Raw genomic sequence first — 27,491 nt, 5'->3', positions numbered from 1 at the left:
CATGGTTATTTTATGACACTTCCTCTGTTGTTGCAGTTCTTACCCCGGTCTCTCTGCAGCTTTCCTGCAGGTCGGGTGGCTTTTCTGTGTGGTTCACCAGCCTCTGCTGTGTGCTTCACATCTCTAGGGCCCTTACACCCTGCTGCTGGCCATGTTCGGTGGGCTGGGCAGGGGCCCAGGTTACACAGACTCAGAGTAGGAGAGCCAGGCAGAGGGGAGACGTGGTCACCTGTGGAGGAGGAGGCGGGCAGGGGCCCAGGCAGGAGGGCAGGGGAAGCAGGGGCCTTCTCCTGGGGGTCTGGTCAGATGTCTCCTGGGCTTCCCTGGTGTGAGAACAGCAGGCAGCCAGTGGGGAACGACCAGCCCTCCGGAAAGAAGCCCTGAGCTGCTGCACCCACGAAGACCCTGGAGTAAAGACTCCAGGCCTGGCTGGTTTCCAGGCGTGCTGACCCAGCTCCACATGCCCGCAGCACATGCCCTGCGGCATCTCCACCAGGCAGATACTCTAGTCGAAGGCTGTGAAGTCACAGGAGTGAGGGATTTCTATTACCTTCATTTTAATATAATTTGGTAAAAGTGTAAGCTTATTTAAAATTTTAATGATATTTATGTTAACCACTGGCTCCCACAATTTCTGGAAAATTACCAGTCTGCTTTCACGAGCTGGTCAGGCTGGCTCCTGTGCCCTCTCACATGCACACATACTCCGTGAGCTTGGCCAGGTAGCTCCTGCATAGGCCAAGTTTATTTTCACCTCAGGGCCTTTGCACTGACTGTTCCCTCTGCCTGGAAGGCTGTTCCCTCAGAGCTTCCTTGTCCGGTTCCTTCCCAGCCTTTAGACTCAGCTTGATGGCCACTTCCTCAGAAAGCCCCCGCATCCACCATCCTGGGGAGCCCTCAACACAGTCCTGTGTTCCTCACGGCCCACAGCGGTCTTTGTTCCTGGTGCCTTGCTCAGTGTTGGTGTATAGTAGGCACTGAATAGCTATTTGTGGAGGGACCGAGTGCATCAGGCAGTGCGCTGCACGGCTGTGCATTATTAATTCATGGGGCCACTGGCACTGCTGGTCCCCAAGTTCACAAAGGCAGGGGTGGGGTGGGGTGGGCTCCCTCACCTTGTGTCCTAGCTCAGTGGTGGGCTCGGGGCAGGGTCTGTGCTGAGCTGAGCAGCCTGCCTGAGGGCAGGTCTGTGCCCCTGGAGGGTCTCTGACGCCTGCTGTCCTCTCTCCTGCAGTGAAGGTGTCTGTGAAGCTGCAGTACATGGACAACATCCGCTGGATCCGGGAGGCCGCCAGGCACCGGCTGGTGAGGGCCCAGGCCTGGGGGAGGCTGGGGTGGCTGTGCTGTCAGAAGACTGCCCAAAGGTGAGGTGCTGCTGACGGGCGCTCAGCCTGGTCCACAGCCTCCAGCTTGCCAAGCCCTGAGAGGGTGCACACACAAGATCCTGTGTGACTGTTTGTGCCAGCCCCATGGTGGCCACACTGGGAGGGGAAGCAGCCCAAGGGGCTGCTGGAGAAAGAAGCCGGGGACCTTTAAAGGGTGGCCTGGGAGAGGACACGGAGAATTTGGAACCCTTGTGCATTGTTGGTGAAATGGTGCAGCCACATGGAAATCAGGAGGAAGCTTCTGCAAAAAATCAAAAATAGAATTACCCTATGACCCAGCAATTCCACTTCTGGATGTGTAGCCCAAAAAATTGGAAGCAAGGACTCAGAGAGATACTTGCACGCCCATGTTCACAGCAGCACTATTCACAATGGCTAAGCTGCGGAAGCCACCCAGGTGTTCCCTGATGGACGAATGGATAAACAAAGTGTGGGTTAACCATGAGATGGAATATGACTCGGCCTCAAACGGAAGGGAGTGCTGACACACGTGACAACATGGATGAACCTGGAGGACACCATGCTAAGTGAAATAACCCAGTCACAAAAGGACAAATACTGCATGGTTCCATGTCTATGAGGTCCCTAGAGCAGTCAAATTCATAGAGACAGAAAGCAGAATGGTGGGTGCCAGGGGCTGGGGGATGTGGAATGGGGAGATGGATGGGGCAATGGTTTTACATTATGAATCGACTTAATACCACTAAACTGTGTACTTAGAAATGGTTAAGATGGTACATTTTATGTATGTATATTTTATAATTTAAAACGTAGAGGGGGAAAGTGGCCTGGGGCTCTGGGGCAGCGACTAGAGTTGGGCAGGTCGTTCTTCATCCTGTTACTCAACAAATAGAGGCAGCCCTGCAGAGGAAAGAGTTTGGGCTCTAGAGCCAGGCTGCCTGGGCCTGAGAAGCCTCCCGTATCCTCAGCTGTGTGACCTGGGGTGAGTGGTTCAGCCTCTCTGAGCGCCACGCCCTCATCTGCAAAGCGGAGACGGTGGTGGCAGTGTTTGGAGCAGGCCCCTGTGGCCCTGCTTGTACAGGGGGTGTGTTGTGAGGCTGAGCTAACAGATGAGTCTTGCCCAGTTTCTGCTGGGTGTGTGTGCAGGAAAGCACCAGCAGGGAGGGGTGGGTGGGGCTGCCTCACACAGAATGGCCAGGGAAGGGGTCCAGCATGTGCATCCAGGTCTACATGCTGAGAGGGTTGCAACCATGTGACAATCGAGGCAGAGGGACCAGCCCTTGCACAAGCCCCAGCCTGTACACAGGCCCCACGGTGGCAGTAGACTGGGTGTAATGAGGACAAAACAGAAGAAAAAGTGGGCATTTGGTTCATACACCTTTGGCCATGGACCGTGTCTGAACTAGTGGGTCTTGGCCCAGGAGTCCCAGGGCCAGGAGAGGCCTGCCCCTGTCCTGGGCTGTCTCATCCATACGCAATGGTTTGCATTTGTATCCAGCCTCAGAGTCCCCGTGCCAACAGCATCTCTGTGACGGTGCTGAGTCAGAGATGCCAAGGCCAAGACTCGGAGGCTGGAGCTGCAGGGTCAGTGCAGAGATGGGGTGGAGAAGAGAGGGGGGATAGCCTGAGAGGATGGATGCCAGCATGGCTGAGAAGGGGCCGTGGGAGGTGCCAGAGTTGAGGGTGTAAGGGGTGGATGCTGCAGCTGGAGCTGCAAGCAGGGTGCGTCTGCTTTGACTTAAAGTCCCCTGGAGATCGTGTGCCTCCTGATACTTACTGTTGCTTTCTCTTCTGAACGGTGACTGCAGAAGGTTGCCTTTTAAAATTTTTTGATTTATTTTCTTTTAATGTACCCTCTTGACAAAGTGGGCAATCCTATGTCAGTTCCTCACCAATTTTTTTCTGGATCCAAAAAATCTGAAAATCTCTGCAGTGCTGATTCACACGAGTAGTTTTTCTGAAAAGGATTTGAGGCAGCTGGTGTGAGTAAAATAAGCCTGTTCTCTAGGAACCCATGAGGGAGGAAGAAGCAGCTAGACTCATTGTCCCGGCCAAAGCTGAGCTTGCGGTCAGGTGCACAGCTGCTTCCGTGGCCCGGCCCTGCTGCCTTTTACCGGCTCCTGGTCGAGCTCACCAGCAACTGGGGCAGACACCTGCATCTTCTTTGGAGAAACCAGGGTTTCTCAGCCTCAGCGTACTGACATTTGGGGCTGTACAAATTTTCTTTAATTATGGTAAATTATACATAAACGTAAAATTTACCATCTTAACCATCTTTGCCATTTTTGAGTGTGCAGTGCAGTGGCTTCAAGCACATTCATACTGCTGTGCAGCCATCACCACCATCCATCTCAGAGCTTTTTCACCTTCCCAAACCAAAACTCTGTCCCCATTAAACACTAACTCCCCATTCTACTCCCACGGCCCCTGGCACTCAACAACCTCATATAAGCGAGATCAGACAGTGTTTGTCCTTTTGTGTCTGACTTATTTCTCCTATCATAATGTCTTCAGGGTTCATCCATCCATGTTGTAGCATGGGTTGGAATTTCCTTCCTTTTAAGGCTGAATCACAATCCACTGTATGGACAGACCACGTTTGGTTCATCCGTGCACCACGCTGGATACCCAGGTCGCCTCCACCTCTCAGCTGTTGTCATGCTGCTGTGAACGTGTGTGTGCACATATCTCTTGGAGTCATTGGGGGCTTCTTCATCACGGGGGCCGTTGTAGAGTATTTAGCAGCATCCCGACCCATGCCAGCAGCACCCAAAAATGTCTTCAGTCATTGCCAAATGTCATCCTGCTTGAGGACCGCGGGGCTACACAGTGACTCATTTCATGCGCTGAAGCTGTCTCCCGGGGACAACCACCCATTACTGTCAGGAGATGCGATCACTGGGTGGCTGAGCTCGTGGGTGCAGCAGACAGACAGAGGGCCCAAGGTCAACCTGTAGACAGGTGGCTCCACCTCTTGGGGCCATTTCCTCATCTGGAAAATGGAGCTTATGATGAGGATGACAGTATCTTCCCATAAGACTCACAGACAAGAGGCTGTATGGCACACTGAGAGTGGGGCAGGCCCAACGCAAACTTGCCCTGGATGGCGTTGATGTCATCACTGTGGGATGGAGCAGGAGCAGTGCTCGCAATAGGTAACCTCCCTGGAGCACAGATGGCTCAGGGGCTCCAAGGCCCCTCTGGGGATAATCTGGGATTGGGGGAGGTGTCTGGAGGCCCAGACTACAGTGGACATGTGGGGCCGGTATGGCTGTCTAGTGGGCTGAATGTGGGGGCTCACCTCAGGCCACAGATTTGAGAGCTACCATGCACCCTGGGGGTCCTCCTGGACCTTGTTAGGCGCTCAGGCTGCCAAGGGCCATGTCCCACAGTGGAAGTGCCACCCGTGTCTCCCTGCACCCCAGGTCCTGTTATTGCTGCCTATGTTGGCTGAGATGCCAGTTGCCCTTCTCTCCTCAGGTGGTGGGCTCCCAGGCAAGGATCCTGTACTCAGACCAGAAGGGCCGCGTGGCCATCGCTGTGGCCATTAACCAGGCCATCGCCTGCAGGAGGATCAAGGTGAGGTGTCCTGTGCTCTGGGGGAAGCATCCCTCAGCCTCTTCCCACTGCCTTTCCTGCCTTGGGCCTTCCTGCGTGTGCCTCGGCTGCACCCCACAGCCTTCTGGGTGGGGAGACACCCCCGTTGGGCCTCAGCAGCCCAGTGCTCAGGAGCAGTGGACCAGCCCCTCCCGGGAGCTTAGCTCTTCCATGGCTGAGGCCCAAACTTCCCCCTCTTTAGGGAGATCAGGTTTTGCTGAAGGTTTTGGTCCCTGGGACCAGCTGAGTAGTAGGGCTCTGCTGGGGAGGCAAGGGTAAGGCGGCTGTGAGGGGGTGGTGGGAAGGAGGGCCTGGGGGAGCAGGAGCAGTGCTTGAAATAGGTAACCTCCCTGAAGCATAGGTGGCTCAGGGGCTCCAAGGCCCCTCTGGGGATAATCTGGGATTGGGTGAGGTGTCTGGGGACCCTGCTCTGTGTGTGTCAGGCCCCATCATTGTTCCCTGCTGTGTGACCTTGGGCAGGTCCGTAGCCCTCTCCGAGCCTTGGTTTCCCTCTTCTGTGAAAAGAGACTAAAAAGCATGTGTGTGAGGATTGAGTGAGTCAGCTTCCACAAAGTAACTTTAAACATCTTTATGGAGTTCCCTTTTCTCAAGCAATGGCAAACTTCCCTAGCTTTTGCTCATTTTGCCAATCGCCAAGCCCGTCTCGAGGACGGAACCCTGGGCATGCTTGCTCCGAGGGGCTCTGGCTCCTCCTGCCACAGAGTTCTTGCGGGCGTCTCTCTTTTCAGAAGTGCCAGGAATGTTACTGGTCAGGTGTAAGATAGACATTGGGACAGAGGTATGAAGACTGCCCTGGCATGATTCTGGGGCTGGCACCGGCAGCAAAGGCAGTAGCCAGCCCTGCTAGGGCACAGCCAAATGCACCCACCCAGTGCTTCCTGGAAGCCCAGGTGTTCCCGGGGACTGCTAGGAAGCTCCAGGCGCACTCGCCCCGGGCTGCGGTCAGCTGGCCAGCAGAAAGGGGTCAGTAAGCATGTGTCCATTCACTGGACAGTGCTTGGCTGAGCATGGCCACTGTGCAGCGTGTCCTAACCACCAGGGACACAGCAGAGAACAAGACAGACCCGTGTAGTGTGGTGAAGGGTGACTGACGTAAAGCTGAAGGCACACATTGCGACAGGGTTTCAGAGGATGAGGAGCGGCGTGCAGGAAATGAACATGGCGAAGAGCGGTGGTCAGGACAGCCTCTCTGAGTTGCTAACGTTGAGCTGAGACCTGAATGGCCAGAAAGTGCCAGAATATCTGGGGGAAGGTGGTTTCATTGCACAGGTGAAGACGTGGGAACAGGCCTGGCCTGTTGAAGGTGGGAAAGGCAGACCTCTTCATTCAAGAGCACAGGGCATCCCAGGCTTTTGTCAGGATGCATCTTCTGGCACAGGGGCCTGTGAAATTTTGAGATCCCCTGGAGAGGTTGGGAAGATCACGCCCATCAACCAGCGCTACCTGAAAAGTTTCCAGGACCTGGTGATAGGAATAGGACTTCTTAGCTGAAACAGCTGGGCTGCTCCCCAGGTGCACTGCAAACTGCATACTGACCTGCGTGCTCCCTCTCCTGACTGAAAGGTGCAGAGCCAGGCTGACATGCTCCCTGTGCAGTGTCCGACGGCTCCCCCTACTCCTTCTCTTTAGTCAGGGTTCCTCCCAGTTCCTTCACTCTGTTTTTTAAATTGCCAGTTAGAACTCATTTTCTTTCCTCTTTTTTTTTTTTTGGAGAAAGACTCACTCCATAGCCCAGGCGTGGTCTCAGCTCACTGCAACCTCCACCCCCCAGATTAAAGCGATTCTCATGCCTCAGCTCCCCGACGAGCTGTGATTACAGGCGTGCACCACAACACCTGGCTAATTTAGGTATTTTTAGTGGAGACGGGTTTTGCCATGTTGGCCAGGCTGGTCTCGAACTCCTGACCTCAAGTGATCCCCTGCCTTGGCCTCCCGAAGTGTTACGATTACAAGAATGAGCCACTGTGCCCGGCCAGGACTCCTTTTCATAGCAGGCCTGCCCATGCACAGCATAAGGGAGTCAGCTGACCTGCCCTTAGCCATGGCCCTACCTGACTTCCAGGGCTGTACCACATCCATCTCGTGGGGGCAAAGCAGCAGCTGGCTGCCTCTCCTGGGTATCTGAGCAGCCGGAGATTCCTGGGGAACAAGGAGTGCTGCCGATGAGTGTATTAAAAAATCAAACTCAGCATGAATGCTTTCTCTGTGCGAAAAGTCTTTGTCCTCAGAGAGACTGGCAGCACGAAAAGGCTCTTAGCAATTACCTCATCCAGGAAACCAAGAGCTATTCCCAGACGGAAGTGACCTGCCCAAGGTCTCATGGTAGGTACTGCCAAATACTCCCCCAGTGAGGCCCTCCAACACCTCCAGGCCATCAGCCAGCCACGTCTCTATTGCACAGGTCAGGGGCCAGGCTGCCTGAGGCTTGAGCCCAGACTAAGTGGACACTCGGACTTAACAATTTTTCTGCTTTACAATGGTGTGAAGTGACACTTGTTTAGTACTCTCCTCGACATACAATGGGGTTGCGTCCAAATGAATACATCGTAAGTTAAAAATACTCTTAAGTCGTTTTTTACTTAGGGTACAGTGGGCTTATTAAGATGTAGCACCATCGTAAGACGAGGAGCGCCGGCATATAACACGTGTGGGGTTAAACCCCAGCTCACGACTCACTCGCTCTGTGATATAGGGGAAATTTCTTCTCCTCTCTGTGCCTCCGCTTTCTCATCTATGAAGTGGGCATGATAATGGTTGTGCCTATCTGAACAGGGTGGCTGTGAGTGCTCGGTGAGCTCACACATGTATTACACACGAGTGCTGCCGGGCACACGTGAATCTATTCCAGGCTACAGATGACATCAGAAATAGTTGTGAAGAGGGTCTATTTTCCAGGAGGAGAAATCCAGCGGGTTCTGGTGTGACCTGCCCCTTGTCCTCAGTCTTTACCAGGAAGCCATGGTGGACACTGTTGGCTGACAGCTTCTGTCCTTCCATGCACAGGCGCCGGTGGTCCTGAGCCGAGATCACCATGACGTGAGCGGCACCGACAGCCCCTTTAGGGAGACCTCCAACATTTACGACGGCTCTGCCTTCTGTGCAGGTGAGGAAGATGAGAATGTCTTAAACTTTCATCTTAGATTTGGATTTTATTAAAAATTGATGCATTTAGTCAGTCACAATGTTTCGAAAGATGTTCTGGCACCTGAGAGGCTCGGCATAGAGTGACCAACCCAGGACTGAGGGGGTCTGGGATGTGGGACTTCCAGTTGTAAAACCGGTAAGTGCCAGGCACACCGGGCCAGCTGGGTGCCCTGGACTTGGGTGACCTACAGGCTGTGGGCAGCCAGCTGTTTCCTTACCTTTCCAGATCCTAGAGCTGCATTTCTTGCCTTTTTTGGCTCCTGGTCTCTTCCCCATCTTCATAGCTGAGCACCAAGAGGAGGGGGATATTCTTAGGGTTCTCCCTGATCTTCTCTGTGGCACCCATTGGGATTTTTGGGGGAAGAGCCTGCAAGAGGGTGCAAACGCCTTTACCGCTGTCTACCCAGGGGCTCACGGTCTCAGGCTGGCCTGCGCCTGTCCCTTAGCAATGTGTTGCACACTTATAAGGTGACCGGCTTGGGCTCTGTTTCTCTCTGCAGATGCTCTCAGTCCCCAGGTTTCAGGTTGGATGGTTGTCCTGGGACCTCAGTTCCCTAATGGGGTCAAGGGAAGCCTATTATTTGCAGTTTGCTCCTCTGCCCCCCTTTTTAAGAATATGAGTGACTCTCTTTGGCACTCTACTTCTCTGAACTAACACTGTTTCCACATCCCTTTTAATTCTTCTGTTCCCTCTGCTTCCGGAGTGCTTTAGCTGGTGCCCAGTGCTGGAGAGCGCCACCATGGGACAACTAGACGTGTGTCAGTTTCTCCCACTCTAGCTCCAGCTCTGCCAGCACACACGACTGCTGCTGTGAGAGGCCCTGTCCCTAGGGCCTAGTTGCCGCCCCATCCTTCTGGCCTAGCAGTGCTGGCTTAGCCAGCGAGGCTGGCCTGACTGAGCCAGGTGCCCACCCAGTGCAGGGGGTGATGAGCAGAGGCGTCTCTATTTCCGCAGACATGGCTGTGCAGAACTTCGTGGGAGATGCCTGTCGCGGAGCCACCTGGGTCGCCCTTCACAACGGAGGGGGCGTGGGCTGGTAAGAAGGTTTCAGAGGACAGGGTGTGGGCTGATGTGGAAGTTTTGGGGGTTCCTTTGGGGCAGGGCCAGGCTGAGGTTCCTGAAGTCCTGGGCCCTACCTCCCTGGTCACCTCCCCTGCCCTCACCTTTGTGGAAAATGTGTTCCTTGCGTGAGCGGAGACAGTTGACAGAACTTCAGGAGAGGACTTGCATTAGCCACCCCACCTCTCTGGGTCTCCCCTGCCACATGGGTCTCAGGGGCCTCTTAGGCTCTGCAAGAATGGCAGCCGCCTTCCTCATGTCAGTTTCCAGTGTGCAGTTAGTTTCCAGCATGTCAGTTTCCATGTGTTCCCATGGAATTCCCGGCGCTTTCATGGCCAGGGTCTTCTCCTTCCTGCTCTGACCACCTCACTTGAGAGTGCAAAACCCAGCCAAGGCTCCCAGGGCAGCTGGGCTGGGGGCAGGAGACCTGGTGTCTTGGTTCCCCTCTCCCCTCGGCTCCCAGCTCTGCCCCTGCCCGGCTATTCTCTATGAGAAAAGCTCCCCAGATCTGGGCTCCTGGTTGAAGCTGGATTCTGGGCTGCGGGGAGCAGCAAGGGGTGCTGCAGCTTCGGAGGGAGGACAACGCCCCCTGCCTGGCTCCAGTGGCCATCTCCAAACTGGCCTCTGAGCCTATTTTGGCCGGATCTAGTGGTCCCCTGCCCTCCAGAGCCAAGTCCCGGTGGAGCATTCCGACAGGCTGGCTTGGCCTCGTGTCCTTGGAGGCTGCAGTTCCGCACTGCGGCAGTCAGGTGGCTGTAATTAGAGGAAAATGTGACTGAGGCTATGTCCTTTCCAACACAGGGGCTATAGAAAGCTCCGGGCAGAAAAGGGCTGCCTGGCTATTGGGTACCTGGCATTTCTGCACAGGATTTCCTGAGTCATTTCCGGAGGGGAAGAGAGTGGCTCTGAAGGAGGCTGAGCAGTTTGCCCAGGGCCACAGAGCTGGCGATGGAGCCACGGTCTGACCCCAGGTTCCCCAGGATCCATTATCATTGCTGACAGACAGCCGAAGGCAGGCCGAGGAAGAGTGCACACCCTCAGGGCCTTAGGGCAGGGACAGCAGGGCCAGAATTCAGGCAGCCCTGAGGGCAGGCCTCCCCAAGACAGGAAATGCTCCCTGCAAATTCCTAAGTTGCTCCCCCAAGGTTTCCCCCAGACTCTGTGGACAGGGACACAGACTGACCAGACACTGGGACCTAAAACCTTTTACCCTGCTGCCCTTGAGGGGTGTTTTGGGAAAGTGCCACAAATTCATCCTGGGACCCATCACACTTACACATGTACATAATCTAACCCATCGGAAAAAATGTCTATCCCTCAACCATGGCTACTCCAAAGGGACGCCACTCCCAATTCTGTCTCCACCGTGGCTACTCGAAAGGGATGCCACTCCCAATTCCATCCCCACCGTGGCTACTCCAAGGGGACGCCCCACCCCCCGCAACTCTGCAGCAGTTTCTCTTTCCTGCGCATTGATCCCTGTTTCCAGGCTGTGCGCTCACCCTCACATTCCTGGACCGAACTTCCCATGTTTCCACTTGTCTGTTGGCTCCACTCCAGGACAACCAGTGACAGCTGTGTGTTGTTTCTAGCCTCCTCTGTGCCACTGTCTCCTGCAGCCCCTCTTCCTGATTGCCCATTTGCCGTCTGTCTTTGTGCCATCTGCCCAGCGCTCACGTTTAAACAGGGCACTACTTGGCTGGCTGCAGCCCTGCATGCTCAGGTGGACGTTTGGACCGCAGGCTGCAGGACAGAGCCATCTGGCTGGGCCACAGAGTGCAAGAGATCAAGACAAGAGCCAGGCTCTTGTTCTTGGGTTGGTTGGACCTCAGAAAAGACTTTTCTGATCTCCTTTCCCTATTGGGAGGACCCAGTCAGAGGGGTGAGGCCTCCCTGTTGGTGCTGCGGCCTCACATGTGAGAGGGTCAGTTCCAGTGGCCACCGAGGGCCCACTCGGGCAGCCTCTAGGCAGCAGGTGGGTGGGCATCTGGGAGCCCACCTCAGGTGAGCAGGCTTCCAGCCGGTGTTTCCAACTTTACCTCTGCTCTTGCCCTCCTTCGGAGCCCCTTGGTGCTGACCACCAGCTCCTGAGGTTCCCTGGGTCCTGGGGCGCCGATGGATTCTGCCGGTCCCTCCCATGGCCACACTGCGCTGGAGCTTTCTGATGCCTGCCTCCAGCTTTCAGAATCCCATCACCCATTCTCCTGTCCCTTTCTCCTCATCCTTGTGGGTTAAATAATTCCTCTGCAGTTTTGTTGGTGAGATGCAGGAGGGGCAGGGGTAAATGGCTGTGTTCTATCCACCATCTATTATATATCTGGATACTGCCACTTTTTCACACTAAACAATGTCTTACAGTGCATCTGAAACTTGAATGTGCACAGAAATCCTCTGGGGATATCATTAAAATGCAGATTATTGTATAGGCGTGCACCACCAGGTCTGAGTCAGGCCTAGTGGTGCACGCCTATAGTCCCATCTACTCAGAAGGCTAAGGCAGGAGGATTGCTTGAGCCCAGGAGGTTTGAGTAAAGCCTGGGAAACATAGTGAGACACCCTCTCTACCAAAAAAAAATAAATAAATAAATGGGGAACAAAGAAAAAAAAGCAGGTGTGGGGTGGAATGGAGATTCAGCATTTCTAGCAAGCTCCTGGTGACGCTGATCCTCTGCCCCGAGGACCTCTCTGAGTAGCCAGGGCTTCCAGGGCCCTGTCTGTGCACACAGCCCTCCCCCACCCACCCACACGCCTTCTGCCCATGTGCAGGGGATGATGCCCCGATGGACAGCCCTGGAGTGCCATGATTGACAGCAGTTCTCAGGCCATCTGCCTGCACAGGGTAGCCTTGCTGTGCCTTTGTTTCTCAATGAGAAAATAAGCATAATAATAACAACTGCCTTGTAGGCTAGGGGTGAAGAGGAAATGAGCTGATGATAGCGAACGCTTGTAGAGTGTTAACATGTGCAAGGCCTTCTACACTATTCATGTATGTTAACTCATCGAATCATGCACTTTAATACATCTGGCATTTATGTTTTTCTACTTTCATGTTTTTCTCAAAGGTATAGTTAGTTGTTCCAACACCATTTGTGAGTTACCTCAAATTCACCATTAATAGCAATGTGTTAGCGTTCCCATTTTCCTGGGATCTGCAAGTTCAGAGTTCCTCTGTGGTCAGTTTGCCAAGGTCACCTGAAGCTGAGCGGCCTTGGTCTCTGACCCTCTGGGATGCAGGCTTCTAAAACAAAATCTGTAGTTCTAATCTCCAAGAGGCCTCTCTAGCTGCAGGACACTGGGAGTGCTCAGGCCTGGGCATGGCTGTTGCTCCTCTGACAGATGAATGGTAATGACCTTAGATCGACTTGGAGCACCTCCCACCTGGAGGCTGGTGGGAGGTGTGAGGGCAACCCACTGCAGGCCATGGACTGCCCAGGTGCAGGGATGCAAGTGCAGGGTGGTAGGCAGCACAGCTGGCTCACTTGCAGGAGGGGTGCAGCTTCTGGGACCAGGAATGGGGAGTGTAGGTGGCTGCAAGGGGCACAGGGCACCTCTCACTGGCTTCCTGGTGAGAACTGGCTGAGGTTGTGGTCAGTAGGATTCAGGCTGGGCAGAGAAGCAGGGAAAGCTGGATGGGCCTGAAGGATTTGAGACAAGGGAAACTAGATGCACATTTTGCATGCTGGAAGAAAAAGGAACAGATATACTGCAAGTGAGGAATAAGAGGCAGGAGGGACACATTTGCAACAACACAACGACAGGCGTTTACAAAATTAAGGGTGCTTCTTGTGTAACTGAAAGCTGAGAAGACTGAGCAGGAGCCAAGGCTGGATGCTTCAAGGGCAGCAGCTCGTAGGTGAATGGCTGAGGATGGGGAAGGTCATCCCAGGCTGATGGGGAACAGCTCCAGTGCACATGCATGGAAGCAGCAGCAGAGCTTCAACACAGTTAATGAAGTTCAACTCATCTACTAGGAAACAAATGAAACCAAGAACATATCAAAAACTGTTAGAAGGAGAGAAATGCATTAATTAGAAAACCAGAAATATTGAAAATAAAGGAACTTAGCCTTCAGATCAAATAATCAGAAGGACCCCCCATACACTTGAGGCAAGCAGAAAGAAGAGATAAGGAAGATAAAGATCATAAGGATAAAATCAGGTGGGGGCACAGTGGCCCATGCCTATAATCCCAGCATTTTGGGAGGTCGAAGCAAGAGGATTGCTTCAGGCCAGGATTTCATGGTCATCCTGGGCAGCATAGTGAGATACCATCTCTAAAAAAATATTTTTTTTAAAGATAAAACCAGAAAGAGTGATGACTGAATTGAGTAATACAAGACACACCAAGGGGAGTGTGCTTTATAGGGCAGCACTCTGAGAATGCAGGGAGGGGGCAGCTATAGCCCACTGGGGGTACCCAGGAGGTTTCCATCAAGGGATGACCTCCAATGGGTGGTGGAAGTGGGCACGAGGCCGACAGGCCCAGCACAGGGGGCACAAGTGGGCAGAGAGGTGGCAGGTAACCACGCTGCTCCCAGCTGTGCTTGCCTGCACGACTCCTGCATCCACCAGGTTGCAGAGGCTGGCGGTGTGGCGGCCCCAACCCTGACGCCGTCTCAAGCCAATGCTTCCAAAACATGGGCTTCTGCCTGCTCTGTGCAGTGTTGGGCCCCAGGAATGAACTGGAAACTCCTCTGCCTCCTGCAGGGGTGAGGTGATCAACGGGGGATTCGGCCTCGTGCTGGACGGTACCCCGGAGGCCGAGGGGAGAGCCAGGCTGATGCTCAGCTGGGATGTCTCCAATGGTGTAAGTCAGCCCAGTCCTTGCCACCTCCTGAAGGCAGGGCCTTCAGCTGGGTGATCCCCATCCACGTTTGCTGTCATACAGCATCTCCTGGGTGTGGGGATGGGGGCCGGATTCCTCTCATGACCACAGCACAGCAGCCAGGAAGGGGGAATCAGCTCAAATGGAGGTCAGGTCAGGTGATGATGGGGAGACAGGTGGGACCCAGAGAATGAGGGGAGGCTTGGAGCAAAGGCGGGAGTTCAGACAGCTTGGGTGACTGAAAGCCCCTGGGCTGGGCCCGGAGCGTGAGCATGAGGACAGAGAGGGTGCTGGCAGGAGACTCACCCCATCTCACCGGGAGCTGCAGGGCTTCTGGCGGAGCTGGGGATGGAGGTCTTCATCCCAGAGCAAGAGGTTTTGTTCTAGGAGATGCCCCGGCTGTGGCATGGAAAAGTGGGTTGGGGGCAGGTGTGGTGACTGTGTGGAAGGCGGAGGCGGGGGTGGCAAGAATGGCAGAGGGGAATGGGGGAGGAGGCGTGGCATCATCCAGGGGAGACCAGGTGGAGGGAAGAAAGAGGACTGCAGGGACATTGTGAAGGTAGAGCTCAGGCTGAGGTGGATTCTAGAAGGGAGGGAGGTGCTGCGGAGGACTCAGGAGGCAAGGCCATTCTTGGAGCTGGGGGAGCAGGACTGAGTGTGATGACCGCCAGTTTCAGATCCCAGAGGAGGGCCAGAGACAGGGAGCCTAAGCTGGGGGTGGAAATGGGGCAGACACAAAAGGGCAGCTGTCCCCACGGACAGCCTCAGAGGTCCCGAAGCAGAGAGGCCCCAAGTGTGGGAGCCAAGACTCACGTGGGGAGCCCGGTTATGTTGACATGGACTGCTATCCCCCTCCTTGCCCTAGGTGGCCCGGCGCTGCTGGTCAGGGAACCAGAAGGCCTATGAGATCATCTGCCAGACCATGCAGGAGAACAGCACCTTGGTGGTGACACTGCCTCACAAGGTGGAGGACGAGCGGGTGCTCCAGCAGGCCCTGCAGCTCTGAGGGAGCCAGGAGTCGCGGCCCCTGCCTCCCTTCCTCCCTGGCGATCCTCACCTGCCCAGCCATGGCACACACCCTTCCTGCACACCCGCACTACCTGCACTTCTCGCACATCCTCACGTGGCCCTTATGGTGCCCTGTGCAGGGTGCCACCACAGCCTCATTTTACAGACAGCCCCCTGAGGCCCAGAGACATGCAGCTCTCTGTCCACAACCATGCCACTTGCATGGGAGCCCTGAAGGCTGTCAAAGTCCATTTAGGGCCAAGTCCCAAGCCTGCCCGGGGGCCCTGCGGTGAACACTGGTCAAGCTCTCTCCGGCTGGGATGATCACACCCTCTGCTTCCTGGCCACCTGCCAGCCTCCATGCAACTCTGTCTGTCTGCTGCCCATCTGCTGTCTGTGCAAGCAACTTCTGGACCCTGGCACCCTGGGCTGCTGGCCTGGAGGAGTTCGGGAAGGAGGATAGACCAGGAAATAAAGGGTCAACAGAGCTGTGTGCTGCACTGTGGGCTGGTGGGACGGGCAGGCCGGGTCTGCCCTAAGGATAAATGATCACTTACTGGGGAAGAAATGAGAGAGCAGGGGCACCCCCCTAGGCCAGCACAGCCTGAGGGGTACAGCAAAGGGGACCCTTTGCTGGCCCCTGAGGCTGGAGTCTGGCACCCCTTCCCCAATCCCATAGCCCGGTAATGACTGGGTCCAGAGCCTCGTGAGAGGTCACCGGGATGGGGGAAGTGGCCTCTGTCAGGGCCAGGGCTCATGAATCTCATTCTCTTAGCTGGGCGTGCAACAGACCAACAGATAACTCATCCTAAACAGAGAAATGAGAAAGAGTCTGTGGGTGGGCCTCTGAGGGCCACAGAAAACCAGACACCCCACATGTCGGTGGATTGGAGAGGGGCAGGCCACTGCCCTCTCCAGGACCAAGCCGGGTTCTTGGTCCCCACCCTCCCTGCACTCCGCATCTCCTCCCCAGCAGCCATTCTCCCCTTTCCCTTGTGAACAAAAGCCTAGTTTTGTGTGGGCAGCAATATAGGGTAAATAAAACCACCTGATTCTCCAGCCTTCCTTGCTGTTAGGAGGGACTGTTGGCCTAGTCCTGGCCCACGAGATGAGGGTGGGGTCTGTGGGGCAGGGCTTCTTGAGAGCCGTCGTTTTTCTAATAAAATGGACAGATCCAGCGGGGTTGCTTTTTGCCTTCGCCCCTTCGTCCTGCCAGAACCAAGATGTGGGGCCTGGAAACACAGCAACCAGGTTGGTCAGCTAGGGCGGCTGCCACATAATGTCTGGCACTGGGGCCCAAACAACAGAAATGAAACACATTTGCAGGCTGGAAGCCCAAGACCAGGTGCCAGCTGGCGTAATTCCTGGTGAGGCCAACTTCTCACTGCATCCTTCCATGGCAGAGACAGAGAGGGGAGAGTGTTACAGAGAGGGGCAGAGACAGAAAGACAGAGACAGAGAGGGGAGAGTGTTACAGAGAGGGGCAGAGACAGAAGGACAGAGACAGAGAGGGGAGAGTGTTACAGAGAGGGGCAGAGACAGACAGAGAGTCACAGAGAGAGACAGAGAGAGAGGAAGAGACAGAGAAAGAAAGAGATACAGAGAGGAAGAGACAGAGAAAGAGAGAGATAGAGAGAGTAAGAGACAGAGAAAGAGAGAAAGACAGAGATAGTGAGAGAGACAGGACAGAGTGTGTAGGGACGAATCGTCTGTCCCCACATCTCCATGAAAGCACCCTGCTGCATGGATCTGTGCACACATCTTAAGAGCGGGCCACAGGGCCCTGGCATCACCCTTTCCCCATCCAGCACCTTCCCTCTTGAAGGACAGGGAGGGCTCTGGTGGCTTCCAGCTGCACACAGACCCCAGACCCCCTCTGGGCTCCATACCAAGCCATGCCAGGGAGCAAGCTACTTCCCTGGCCCCTGCATGCCAACCTGCTGTCTGCTGCTGCAGTGGTAAGTGACAGCTGACTCCCACGGGGCTCACAGCGGAATTGGGGCAGCTGGTCACAGCTGTAGTCGCCATGGAAGGAACAGCGTGGCTTCTGATGTGCCCAGTGCCATCTTCTTTTTCAGAAGGCAAGGATGTATAGTCCAGTTAGAAATGTTTTCATCAAAATGATTAAAAGAGAAACCAGTTGGCCATGATGAGTGTAGGGTTCAGTTGCCTTAAGAGTTGGAGGTGAGAAAGGCTCAGGCCCTGCAGTACAGCATTAGGGTCCTCCCCCTGGGCAGCGCCTGCTCTCTGCAAACCCAGGGTCCCTGGGAACTGTATGCTTTCCTTGCTGGCAAGCCAAGGTCAGGGAGGGAGGGCCTGGCTGAGTGATGCACTCTCCCATTCCAGTTTTCCCAGAGTAGACAACCACACAGGGGCCTGTGGGCCGGGCATGACCTGCAGTTATGTTTTATTTATATATTTTTTAGAAATAGGATCTTGCTCTGTCACTCAGGCTGGAGTGCAGTGGTGCAATCATGGCTCACTGTAGCCTTGAACTCCTGGGCTGAAGTGATCCTCCTGCCTTAGCCTCCCAAGTAGCTGGGACCACAGGAGCACAGCACTACACTCAGCCTGCAGTTGTGTTTTGTTTGGTCTGTCCTGTTTTTAAAAAAATTTGACTTTGTCACCAATGTTTACAAATTGGGAGAAATCCAGAGCTTATTTTTTGAAAATCAAGATATAAGGTAACACCATGTTCTCACCACCTCTGTGGCAGTGATTTGCTGGGGGCCCCTCTGGGCTGGCCTAGCTCTCTGCACTTGGCCACAGTCCCTTCCAGTCCCTACAGAACCCATGGTGAGGCGGAGCGTGTATGCTGTTTGTCCCTTGGCATGAGAGTCTATGTTTCCTGTGCCCACCTGTCTCCCACATTTGTGTGACTTGTATGACCTCTGCTGGGATTTGAACTTGTGACCTTTGACAAAGAGATGCTCTTTTGCTCCCAGTGAACCTCATCCCCACTCCCATCAAAATTTGGGAATCCTGGACACTTCTCTGTTAGCAATCTCAAGATCCACATGATGCCTTTTAGCCCAAAAGAGGTGCTGGACATCCAGCGATACCTGGGCTGATGGGATTTCTCCCCAGACACAAATAAATCTGAGCGTGCATGCGTGTGTCATCTGCGTCCCTTCCCCTGGCTTCTCCAAAATCCTTTCCACACAGCCTGGAGAGTACAGGTCTGGCTGGCCAAGGCACAATCTCTGTGGTCCTTGTAATTTGGGGCACTCCTTTGAGACTACCAAGTTCAAGTCTCTGCCTGAGCCCCACTGGATGACCACATTGAGCTGACTCAAGCCCACCTGGTGAAGTGGCGCGTCTGACCCTCGCCAGGAGTCCTGTTGCTCCTTTCAGGGTATCTCAGCAGAAGGCTGAAACAACCTAGTATCTGAAACAACCTAGTATCAGATTTGAGCTTTGGTTGGGTGGGGGAGTCTTAGGAAGCGGGGATTTGCTCTGGATTGGCTCTTACCAGAAATCGGGTCAACACCATGACTAGGTTTCTGACTAAATCCTATATACAGAGAGGGAAGCACACAGACAGACAGGCTGTCAGGGGTACAAAAGCGGCGGCTGCTCACGTTAGCTGAGAGAGGGGCTGCTGGGTATCTTGTAAATGGCACAGCAAGTGACCTCGCTTTATCTGGGTGGAGACACATCATGAAGTGGCCTTGCTTTGTCTCATGTCATTGTGTTTCAGTGACCTTGGCCTAGGTTGGTTTTCTGCGTGATGGTTCAAGTCTTACAGAACAGAGTGGCCCAGCTGTAGCACCCGGCCAGTTTCTGGATGGCAGGGGCTGCCCTTTTTCTTTCTCAGTCCCCTTCATTTTACACATGAGGAAACTGAGGCACAGAGAAGTTGTGATAGTTTAAAAATGGCTGCAAATTCTTTCCAGCACCTCCCATTGAGAGGTGGAGTACAAGTTCCCCTTGCCTGGGTCTGCAGTGTCTTATGACTTCTTTGATCACGAGAATGTGGCATAATCAATGCTGCGCAACAAGTTGGGCATGGTGGCATATGCCTGTAGTCCAGTTAATTGGGAGGCTGACCCGGAAGGACTGCTTGAGGCCAGTTGGAGGTCGCACTATGATTGCACCTGTGAATAGCCACCACACTCCAGCCTCAGCAACACAGGGATGGACTTGCTGGGTCATGTGGAGATTATGTTTAGCTTTCTGCAGAACTGCCAAACTGTTTTCCACACCGCAACGTTATACATTCCCACCAGCCATATGTGAGAGTTCCAATTTTTCTATATCCTGTTTTTAAAAAAATTACCACTATTTGAGTAGGTGTGAAGTTGTATCTCACTGTGTTTTGATTTGCATTTCCCTAATGATTCGTGATGTTGAGCCTCTTTTTATTTGCTTATTGGCTGTTTGTATTATCTTCTTTGGAGAAATATGTCTATTCAAACCTTTGCCTTTTAAAAAAGTGGACTGTTTGTCTTCTTGCTAAGAGTTCTTTATATATTCCAGATAGTAGATCCTTATCAGATATTCGATTTGCACACCCTTCTCCCATTCTGAGTTGTCTTTTCACTGTCTTATTGGTGTCCTTTTACCTGAGTAAGTTTTTAATTTTGATGAAGTCCAAGTTATCTATTTTTCTTTCTTGTGCTTTCAATATTATATCTAAGAAACTATTCCCTAATCCAGGGTCACATAGATTTACACCTACTTTTCTTCAAATAGTTTTATGTCTTACGTGTAGGCTTTTGCTCTAATTTGAGTTAATTTTTGCCTCTGATGAGAGATACACGTCCAAATTGGTTCTTTTGCATGTGGAGATCCAGTTGTCCCAGTGCCGCCATTATTGAAATGACTATTCTTTCCTCTACTGAATGGTCTAGGAACAATATGTTTTCGGCATAAACTGATATATATAATAGATGTATCCTATTCTTTTTAATATTATAATTTGTGTTACTTAAAAAAATACTCTTAATAATAAAGCATTCATGTATTTAACAAATATGCACCAAGAGTCTTCCTGGGCACACACAGTGAATAGGACACAGTTCCTGGGCTCCAGGAGCCTACATTCCAGAGAGGGAGAGACAGTGAAGGAGCAGGGAAGGAACTCAACAAAACAACGGGTGATGAGAGCTCTAAGAGCAAACAGATCAGACAGAGGTGGGAATACGGGACTGGGTAAGCATGTGCTTTGGATCAGAAGGGGCGCAGAGTCCTCCCAGAGGAATCAGAGATCAGCTGCGCCAAGTCTCTGAGGCTGGAACCAGCTTGGCTTGCTGGATGAACTGGGAAAAAGAGGTGGGGTGCGGGGGAGGGGTGGGGGGGGCAGCGGGAGAGTGGCGGGAAGTGAGGGCAAACAGGTAGGGGAGGGTAGACTAGCAAGGCCATAGGCGCCTTCGGGAGCAAGGTGGAGGTGAGCATAATTTGATGTGCAATTTTTAGATCATAAAACGGTGCCCCGTGGATGGGAGCGAGTGGAGCGGAGGGAGACCGATGACCAGCTAGTAGTTATTTTTCAGGTACCCAGGAATAAAGTGCGGGTTTGGATCTGAGTGGTGGTGAAGTTGAAGTGGAGGAGTCCAGATTGAATGCGGAGGTGTACGGTGAGGTGGGGGAGGGTGAGGACCGGAAACAGTAAGTAATTAAGCTGTTGCAGAGTGAGGTTGTGCCAAGTTTAGTAGGAAATACAGTTGGAAATACAGGCAGGGGTCCTGCGTATCAGGGAGGCCCCGTGTGCCGAGCAAGGACCTGGGCCAAAGCAAACGAGGTCTGTGCGCCAGCGGCGGCAGGCGAGCTTGCACTTAAGTGAGCTGGGGGTAGGCGTCCGGCCTGTTGGACAGGTTCGAATCCTGGATCTGCCGGCTGCCGAGTGACTCGAGCTCGCCGTCCCTGTTTCCTCACCCCTGGGTGACCGCGCACGCTTAATCAGCTCGGACAGGTACAGCCCCTGGGACGCAGTCAATGCCTACGAGAGGTTGCCTGTTAAGTGTCTGAAATATTAATACGATTCGAAGTCAAGACAAGCCTCGTCTTCCACGCCAGCGGGAACGAGAAGGAATCGCTCAGCGTTGGGAGCCTCACCCCGTCCCCTGTCGGTCCCGTGCCCCGCCGCTCGCCCTCGTAGGTGCCGGCGCTCCGCCCCCCGACCCCGCGCCCCGCCCCCCGACCCCGCGCCCCGCCCCCCGACCCCGCGCCCCGCCCCCCGACCCCGCGCCCCGCCCCCCGACCCCGCGCCCCGCCCCCCGACCCCGCGCCCCGCCCTAGTCGGTCCCGGCGCCCCGCCCCCGCCTCCGCCTCCGGCGCCCCGCAGCCCAGCCTCACGTCACGTCAGCCCAGCAGGCCTCGCGCATCGCCCGGCGGCGTCCGCGCACGCGCGGTTCCGAGCCGGACTCTACGCCGGGGCTTGGCGCGGATCGCGTCCCGGGGCGGCGCACGCACACCTGGGCGGGGCGCGGGCAGCTCTGCGTCCGAAGCTGCTCCGACGCCGTCGCTGGGACCAAGATGGACCTCCCGGCGCTGCTCCCCGCCCCGACTGCGCGCGGAGGGCAACATGGCGGCGGCCCCGGCCCGCTCCGCCGAGCCCCAGCGCCGCTCGGCGCGAGCCCCGCGCGCCGCCGCCTGCTACTGGTGCGGGGCCCTGAAGATGGCGGGCCCGGGGCGCGGCCCGGGGAGGCCTCCGGGCCAAGCCCGCCGCCCGCCGAGGACGACAGCGACGGCGACTCTTTCTTGGTGCTGCTGGAAGTGCCGCACGGCGGCGCTGCCGCCGAGGCTGCCGGATCACAGGAGGCCGAGCCTGGCTCCCGTGTCAACCTGGCGAGCCGCCCCGAGCAGGGCCCCAGCGGCCCGGCCGCCCCCCCCGGCCCTGGCGTAGCCCCGGCGGGCGCCGTCACCATCAGCAGCCAGGACCTGCTGGTGCGTCTCGACCGCGGCGTCCTCGCGCTGTCTGCGCCGCCCGGCCCCGCAACCGCGGGCGCCGCCGCTCCCCGCCGCGCGCCCCAGGCCTCCGGCCCCAGCACGCCCGGCTACCGCTGCCCCGAGCCGCAGTGCGCGCTGGCCTTCGCCAAGAAGCACCAGCTCAAGGTGCACCTGCTCACGCACGGCGGCGGTCAGGGCCGGCGGCCCTTCAAGTGCCCACTGGAGGGCTGTGGTTGGGCCTTCACAACGTCCTACAAGCTCAAGCGGCACCTGCAGTCGCACGACAAGCTGCGGCCCTTCGGCTGTCCAGTGGGCGGCTGTGGCAAGAAGTTCACTACGGTCTATAACCTCAAGGCGCACATGAAGGGCCACGAGCAGGAGAGCCTGTTCAAGTGCGAGGTGTGCGCCGAGCGCTTCCCCACGCACGCCAAGCTCAGCTCCCACCAGCGCAGCCACTTCGAGCCCGAGCGCCCTTACAAGTGTGACTTTCCCGGTAACCGCGCTCTCGGGGGCGGGCGGGCTGCGCGGTGTTGCAGGCAGGTCTGGGGTGCCACGTCCGCCCCACAGAGGGGCCTGCCAGACCTTAGCAAGCCGGGGACGCAGGCTCTTCGGGATTTGTATTCTAGCTCCTTCCATGTCATTCGATTTGAGATCTTGGCCCTGCCCTGCCGCAGGGATTCCGATGGCAGGTAGCGCAGATCACCACAGCTGCGCTTCCCAAAGGTGGCGGCAACAGATATCCTTAACCTGCTTGTGCTTGATGAAAGCGGCACGCATCTTCACAGAGTGGCACGGAGCTATGTGTCAGGTCTTTATTTTCCTCAGTCTCGTCATTTGTTTACGGGGTGCACACTCCGTGCTAGAGGAGCAGAGATGAATGTGGCCAGATTCAGGACCTTAACACGCTGGGAGGATAGCCACAGGTGTGCGCACATCCTGGCTTTTTTTGCCTTTTGCACTTTGATTTCCGTTGAACCTCACAGTTTTGTGAAGTTTTAAAAATTAGCCGTCTGTGAAGGTTAAAAACTGTCCTCTTTTACAGATGAAGAGACAGAGGCCGAGCCTTGTGGATAAAGTCCACTGCTGGTGGCTGGGCGCGGTGGCTCACGCCTGTAATCCCAGCACTTTGGGAGGCCGAGGCGGGCGGATTACGAGGTCAGGAGATCGAGACCATCCTGGCTAACACGGTGAAACCCCGTCTCTATTAAAACTACAAAAAATTAGCCGGGCGTGGTAGCGGGCGCCTGTAGTCCCAGCTACTCGGGAGGCTGAGGCAGGAGAATGGTGTGAACCCCAGAGACGGAGCTTGCAGTGAGCCGAGATCGCGCCACTGCATTCCAGCCGGGGCGACAGAGCGAGACACCGTCTCAAAAAAAAAAAAAAAAAAAAGTCCACTGCCTGTTCTTTCTCCTGTGTGTTGACCTGCAGTTGTTGGGAATGTAGGACTCCAACACAGTGAGCTCTTCACCAGGATGGGCAGCTTTCCCTGCTTTCACAGGGATAGGGTTCCTCCAGAAGGGCAAGAAAGGATTCCTCCCTGGAAAGGCAGAAGAATGGAGTCGGCTGGGTGGCAGAGCCCAGGTGGGGATTGTGGTCTGTGGTGAGGGCCCAGGAGGAAGGACCAGTCATTCAAACAGAAACTGGAATGTGTGCCTAGCATGCCCCTAACCTGTATATGCACACGGCTCTCCTTATAATGTCCTTAAACAAGAATTTTTAAAGGATGAGATGAGAATTATGAACGGGTTTTATTATTTTTTCCCTCGCATATGCCTGTGGACTGTCTTGCGCATTCCTCTTCAGAGAGAATGTGGCTTGAGGCCACTAGCTCAAAGTCTTTTTCAGTCATACACTCTTGGGAATCTGATGGTGGCTGTAGACCCTTTCCCTGCTAAAAGAGTATCATTCTGTGTATGACACTGGGAAGGTCAGGGATCCCGCCTGCTTCCAGGCATGAGGTCTCTTGAGGGTTTTGTGTTGGCTGATCCATGAGGCTTCTTGTGTTGAGATGAGATTAGATGGTTAGATGAGATTAGATGTTTAGAAGCAGGAGCAGGACCAGGGAAGCATCATCAAAGGGCCCAGACCTGAGTTTTCTGAAGGCCTGAGCCAGGGAGTGGGAATGATGAGGGTCTCTAGCAGGTGAGATTGCAGAGGGAGAACCAAAGGGTGTAATTATCTATGGGGGTGTGGGGGGTTCTTGCCAAGGCAGAGAGAGTCTGTGTTCAGATTTACATGACCAAGTGTGTGAACACACCGAAGCCCAAAATACCCTGGAGGTATTTTGGGACCAGATTGAGGCCAAAGATCAGCATTTCTGAGTTAGATGTTGCTGGGGAAAGTAGGGTTCCTTGGGCTGATACTTTTGGGCAGTGCTATGCCATGTACATCTGTGTGGCAGTTCATAGGCATGATAGTATCTCGTTAAAGGCTCCAAGAGGAGCTGCAGCAAAGACTCCTGTTAAACATCCTGCAGCCTCATGTTTTCCACCCTGTTGGAGCCCTGAATGTTTCTGTCGGAGGAGAAGTATTGCTGTGGAATTGTTGAGGCTTAGCTGCTTTGGCCAGGGGTTAGGATTGAGGTGAAGATTACAAAGCAGGGAACCTAAGGAAATTGCGAAAGGAAAAAGAATCCAAACAGCAAGGGACAGGGCTGGCAGTTGGAGGGTGTCAGGGAGGAAATTTGGATATGTAGAGGATGCAGCATCACCCCCAAGGGGTGAAAAATCCTGGCTAGTAGGATGATTTGTAGCCTTTCAAAGATCAACCCTACCAGACAAAATCTTGTTCCTTAGTATTTGATTTCTCTCATGGGGTTCTTGGGTCTCAGTGTGTGTGCAGGATCAGTGCTCCGGAGCCGGCCAGTAGATGGCTGTGAACGGAGGACTTTCTCTTTATCGGTTGCTCCATCTCCAAGTCATGTTGCAACAGGTGGCCAGCGTGTGCCTATTGGCTGCCATTAGCTGCCTTCCTGTGGTGATCACAAAGCCAAGCATTAATGGTCTTCCCTTTTTAGAGAGTGCTTCTGAGTCATGTTTTCCCTTGTCTGCTTCAGTGTGAACAGGGTCTGGTGGGTGTGACTAGCATTAGCTATGTTGTATAATTTTTGCCACGCTTTGAGCAGGGTTTGTGTTTTCCTTGTTCAGGCTGTGAGAAGACATTTATCACAGTGAGTGCCCTGTTTTCCCATAACCGAGCCCACTTCAGGGAACAAGAGCTCTTTTCCTGCTCCTTTCCTGGGTGCAGCAAGCAGTATGATAAAGCCTGTCGGCTGAAAATTCACCTGCGGAGCCATACAGGTAATGAGCTAGGGAACGCACAGCATTTGGACCCAAGATTTGTCTTCATCGTAGCTGTTGGAGTTGTAAATTTTATGCTGTATAATTTTTTCTTTTATAAGGTGAAAGACCATTTATTTGTGACTCTGACAGCTGTGGCTGGACCTTCACCAGCATGTCCAAACTTCTAAGGCACAGAAGGTAATCCTTACATTTTGGTTTGCATTATCAGGTTTGAAAATGAGTGGTTTGTCAGCAGCAGAAACCAATGAATGAAATATCTGTAGACATTTTTTAAGTTGTTAAAAAAGGAGCTCAGTGTTGATGATTTGGAAAATTCAGAAAACTGTAAAAAGAAAATTGCTCAGAATCTCATCACCTGAAGTCAGTTTTTTCTGTGTATACTTTTTTTAAAAAAAGCTAAATTGGCATACTCTGTTCTTAAAAAAAAAACAATTCCAGGTTTTTTTTTTAACTTAACATTGTAGAATAAGCTTTCTTCATGTAATTACAAGTTTTCATGGTGGTAATGACAACCCTGGAGACTGTGTCCAGGTGACACTCAGCACTTTACATGTGTGTCTTCTACCTTCCCAACAACCTCAAAGCTAATGTTCTTATTCTCCCTGTTTTACAGTGAGACTCGGAGAGATTCAGTGGTTTTTCTGTACTTGCACAGCTGGGCTCTGAGGATTTAATATAAAAATGTCACTTAGGAAAAGACACAGTCTTTACAAGTTGGCTTAAGAGAGTCCTTTTGGCATTGCAGCTGATGCTCTGTGCACATTTCTCACGACCGTCTGTCGCTCGGAAAGCTTGTTGATCATTGGGGTTTCTAAACAATAGAAACACCTTCATCAATACATTTGGGACTCCACTGTTCTTAGATTAGCTTATATTAGATTGAAGTAGCATTAATTGTTTGATGTGTGACTCTGGGGTCAGCTTAGTCATTAAAGTAGAATTTTTATGGGGTAGCTAAATTGCAAATCTGCTCACATGGATTAAAGACAGAATTAAGATTTTCCGAAATGTACTGATCATTTTTGTAAATGCAAAGTTTGTGTTTTGGTATGTTTTGTAGAATTTTAAAGAATTATGGTGAGTTGTGTGAGGAATCACAGCTCCTTTATTTTTCTGTCTGGCAGGAAACATGACGATGACCGGAGGTTTACCTGCCCTGTCGAGGGCTGTGGGAAATCATTCACCAGAGCAGAGCATCTGAAAGGCCACAGCATAACCCACCTAGGCACAAAGCCGTTCGAGTGTCCTGTGGAAGGTAGATTTTAAAACATTGCTTTGAGCAGTAAACTAAGTGCAATGCCAACATTTATCCTGTTAAGTTTCCGTTGTTTAAAGGTAAATGTTAGCTGCTTAAAGACTGACTCAATATAAGTTGCAGCATTATGTTTACTTACCTCATTGAGTTAATTGTACTATTTTGGGAGCAGTGACTTGAGAATCAGACGCAGTTTGACTCATGGCCCTGATCCTCATTAGATCTGTGGCTCTAGTTAAGTTACCTGTTTAATTTGGTGGTCGTGAGGATTAGGTGAAATGTGGAAAATGCCTGTTTATCCATCTGGCATGGAGCTCGGACTCAGTAAATGGTAGGTACTTTTGAGATCACGTTTGAATTGTCACTCCAATCATTTTGTAATTGGAGAGCAGTAAAGCTAGACTGACTTTTTCTTTTTTTGTTTAATTTTTGAGACAGTCTTGCTCTGTCACCCAGGCTGGATGCAATGGTGTGATCTTGGCTCATTGCAACCTCTGCCTCCCAGGTTTAAGTGATTCTTATGCCTCAGCCTTCTGAGTAGCTGGGACTACAGGCGTATGCCACCACGCTTGGCTGATTTTTATGCTTTTAGTAGAGACAGGGTTTCACCATGTTGGCCAGGATGGTCTCAAACTCCTGACGTCAAGTGATCCACCCACTTTGGCCTCCCAAAGTGCTGGGATTACAGGTGTGAGCCACCACGCCCAACCTGACTTTTTAAAAGGTATAGTAGAGTGGTTTTTTCCTTTAAAACACTGAAGGCTCAGTTCATTTGCCAGAAATTGGCTGCGTGACCTGTGCGTGACTTGTGCGTGCTGGCCCTACTCTAGTTCTGCAGGTGCACTGGGAGGCAGTGAGCCAGGACACGTCGGGTGGTCATGGATTCAAAGTCTGGCTCTACCGCTCCCTAAAGTGGTGGCCTCAGTCAAGCTGCTTCTCTGGGCCTTGGTTTCCTTACCTGGAAGAGAGAATAATAAAGACCCATTTAAAGCTGAGCCTAGCTCTTAGAACATAATGAACATATATACAAGTGGTGTAACTGA

At 53.4% G+C, this 27,491-nt stretch overlaps 2 protein-coding genes across 9 annotated transcripts in view, besides 5 other annotated features; both read left to right on the top strand.

Moving 5' to 3' along the window:
• The window catches only part of UROC1 (urocanate hydratase 1), a 36,608-nt gene extending 20,431 nt beyond the window's left edge, over positions 1-16,177 (top strand). For both annotated transcript variants that reach the window (NM_144639.3, NM_001165974.2), the window contains 6 exons: positions 1,235-1,305; positions 4,827-4,925; positions 7,968-8,067; positions 9,064-9,145; positions 13,875-13,974; positions 14,858-16,177. In NM_144639.3, the coding sequence (NP_653240.1) occupies positions 1,235-1,305; positions 4,827-4,925; positions 7,968-8,067; positions 9,064-9,145; positions 13,875-13,974; positions 14,858-14,998 (593 nt within the window). In that variant the 3' untranslated portion in view covers positions 14,999-16,177. The remainder of the gene's footprint in view (positions 1-1,234; positions 1,306-4,826; positions 4,926-7,967; positions 8,068-9,063; positions 9,146-13,874; positions 13,975-14,857) is intronic.
• Positions 7,080-8,279: an enhancer, noted in NCBI's record as "BRD4-independent group 4 enhancer chr3:126207907-126209106 (GRCh37/hg19 assembly coordinates)". NCBI's record gives its function as "activates an origin of replication core promoter dependent on BRD2, P300/CBP, MED14 and CDK7 cofactors, and independent of BRD4, by STARR-seq in HCT116 cells {active_cell/tissue: HCT116}" and the evidence as "EXISTENCE:reporter gene assay evidence [ECO:0000049][PMID:35650434]".
• Positions 10,354-11,289: an enhancer, noted in NCBI's record as "H3K27ac-H3K4me1 hESC enhancer chr3:126204897-126205832 (GRCh37/hg19 assembly coordinates)". NCBI's record gives its function as "activates a minimal SCP1, AML or CMV promoter by ChIP-STARR-seq in naive H9 embryonic stem cells {active_cell/tissue: H9 hESC(naive)}" and the evidence as "EXISTENCE:reporter gene assay evidence [ECO:0000049][PMID:30033119]".
• Positions 21,183-21,692: a silencer, noted in NCBI's record as "silent region_14678". NCBI's record gives its function as "represses an Ori minimal core promoter by ATAC-STARR-seq in GM12878 lymphoblastoid cells {active_cell/tissue: GM12878}" and the evidence as "EXISTENCE:reporter gene assay evidence [ECO:0000049][PMID:35858748]".
• ZXDC (ZXD family zinc finger C) overlaps positions 21,452-27,491 on the top strand; it is a 38,291-nt gene continuing 32,251 nt past the window's right edge. For all 7 annotated transcript variants that reach the window (NR_104249.2, XM_011513119.3, XM_006713741.3 and 4 more), the window contains exons 1-4: positions 21,452-22,384; positions 25,038-25,190; positions 25,292-25,370; positions 26,318-26,448. Coding sequence is in view for 6 of the 7 variants with exons in the window: in XM_011513119.3 (XP_011511421.1) it covers positions 21,478-22,384; positions 25,038-25,190; positions 25,292-25,370; positions 26,318-26,448 (1,270 nt within the window). In the remaining variant the exon portion in view is untranslated. The remainder of the gene's footprint in view (positions 22,385-25,037; positions 25,191-25,291; positions 25,371-26,317; positions 26,449-27,491) is intronic.
• Positions 21,763-22,022: a silencer, noted in NCBI's record as "silent region_14677". NCBI's record gives its function as "represses an Ori minimal core promoter by ATAC-STARR-seq in GM12878 lymphoblastoid cells {active_cell/tissue: GM12878}" and the evidence as "EXISTENCE:reporter gene assay evidence [ECO:0000049][PMID:35858748]".
• Positions 22,580-23,105: an enhancer, noted in NCBI's record as "H3K4me1 hESC enhancer chr3:126193081-126193606 (GRCh37/hg19 assembly coordinates)". NCBI's record gives its function as "activates a minimal SCP1, AML or CMV promoter by ChIP-STARR-seq in primed H9 embryonic stem cells {active_cell/tissue: H9 hESC(primed)}" and the evidence as "EXISTENCE:reporter gene assay evidence [ECO:0000049][PMID:30033119]".

Source organism: Homo sapiens, chromosome 3, assembly GCF_000001405.40.
Source record: "Homo sapiens chromosome 3, GRCh38.p14 Primary Assembly".
NCBI lineage: Eukaryota > Metazoa > Chordata > Mammalia > Primates > Hominidae > Homo > Homo sapiens.
Note: the sequence above shows the minus strand (reverse complement) of the source record. Positions and strands in the feature narration are given on the sequence as shown.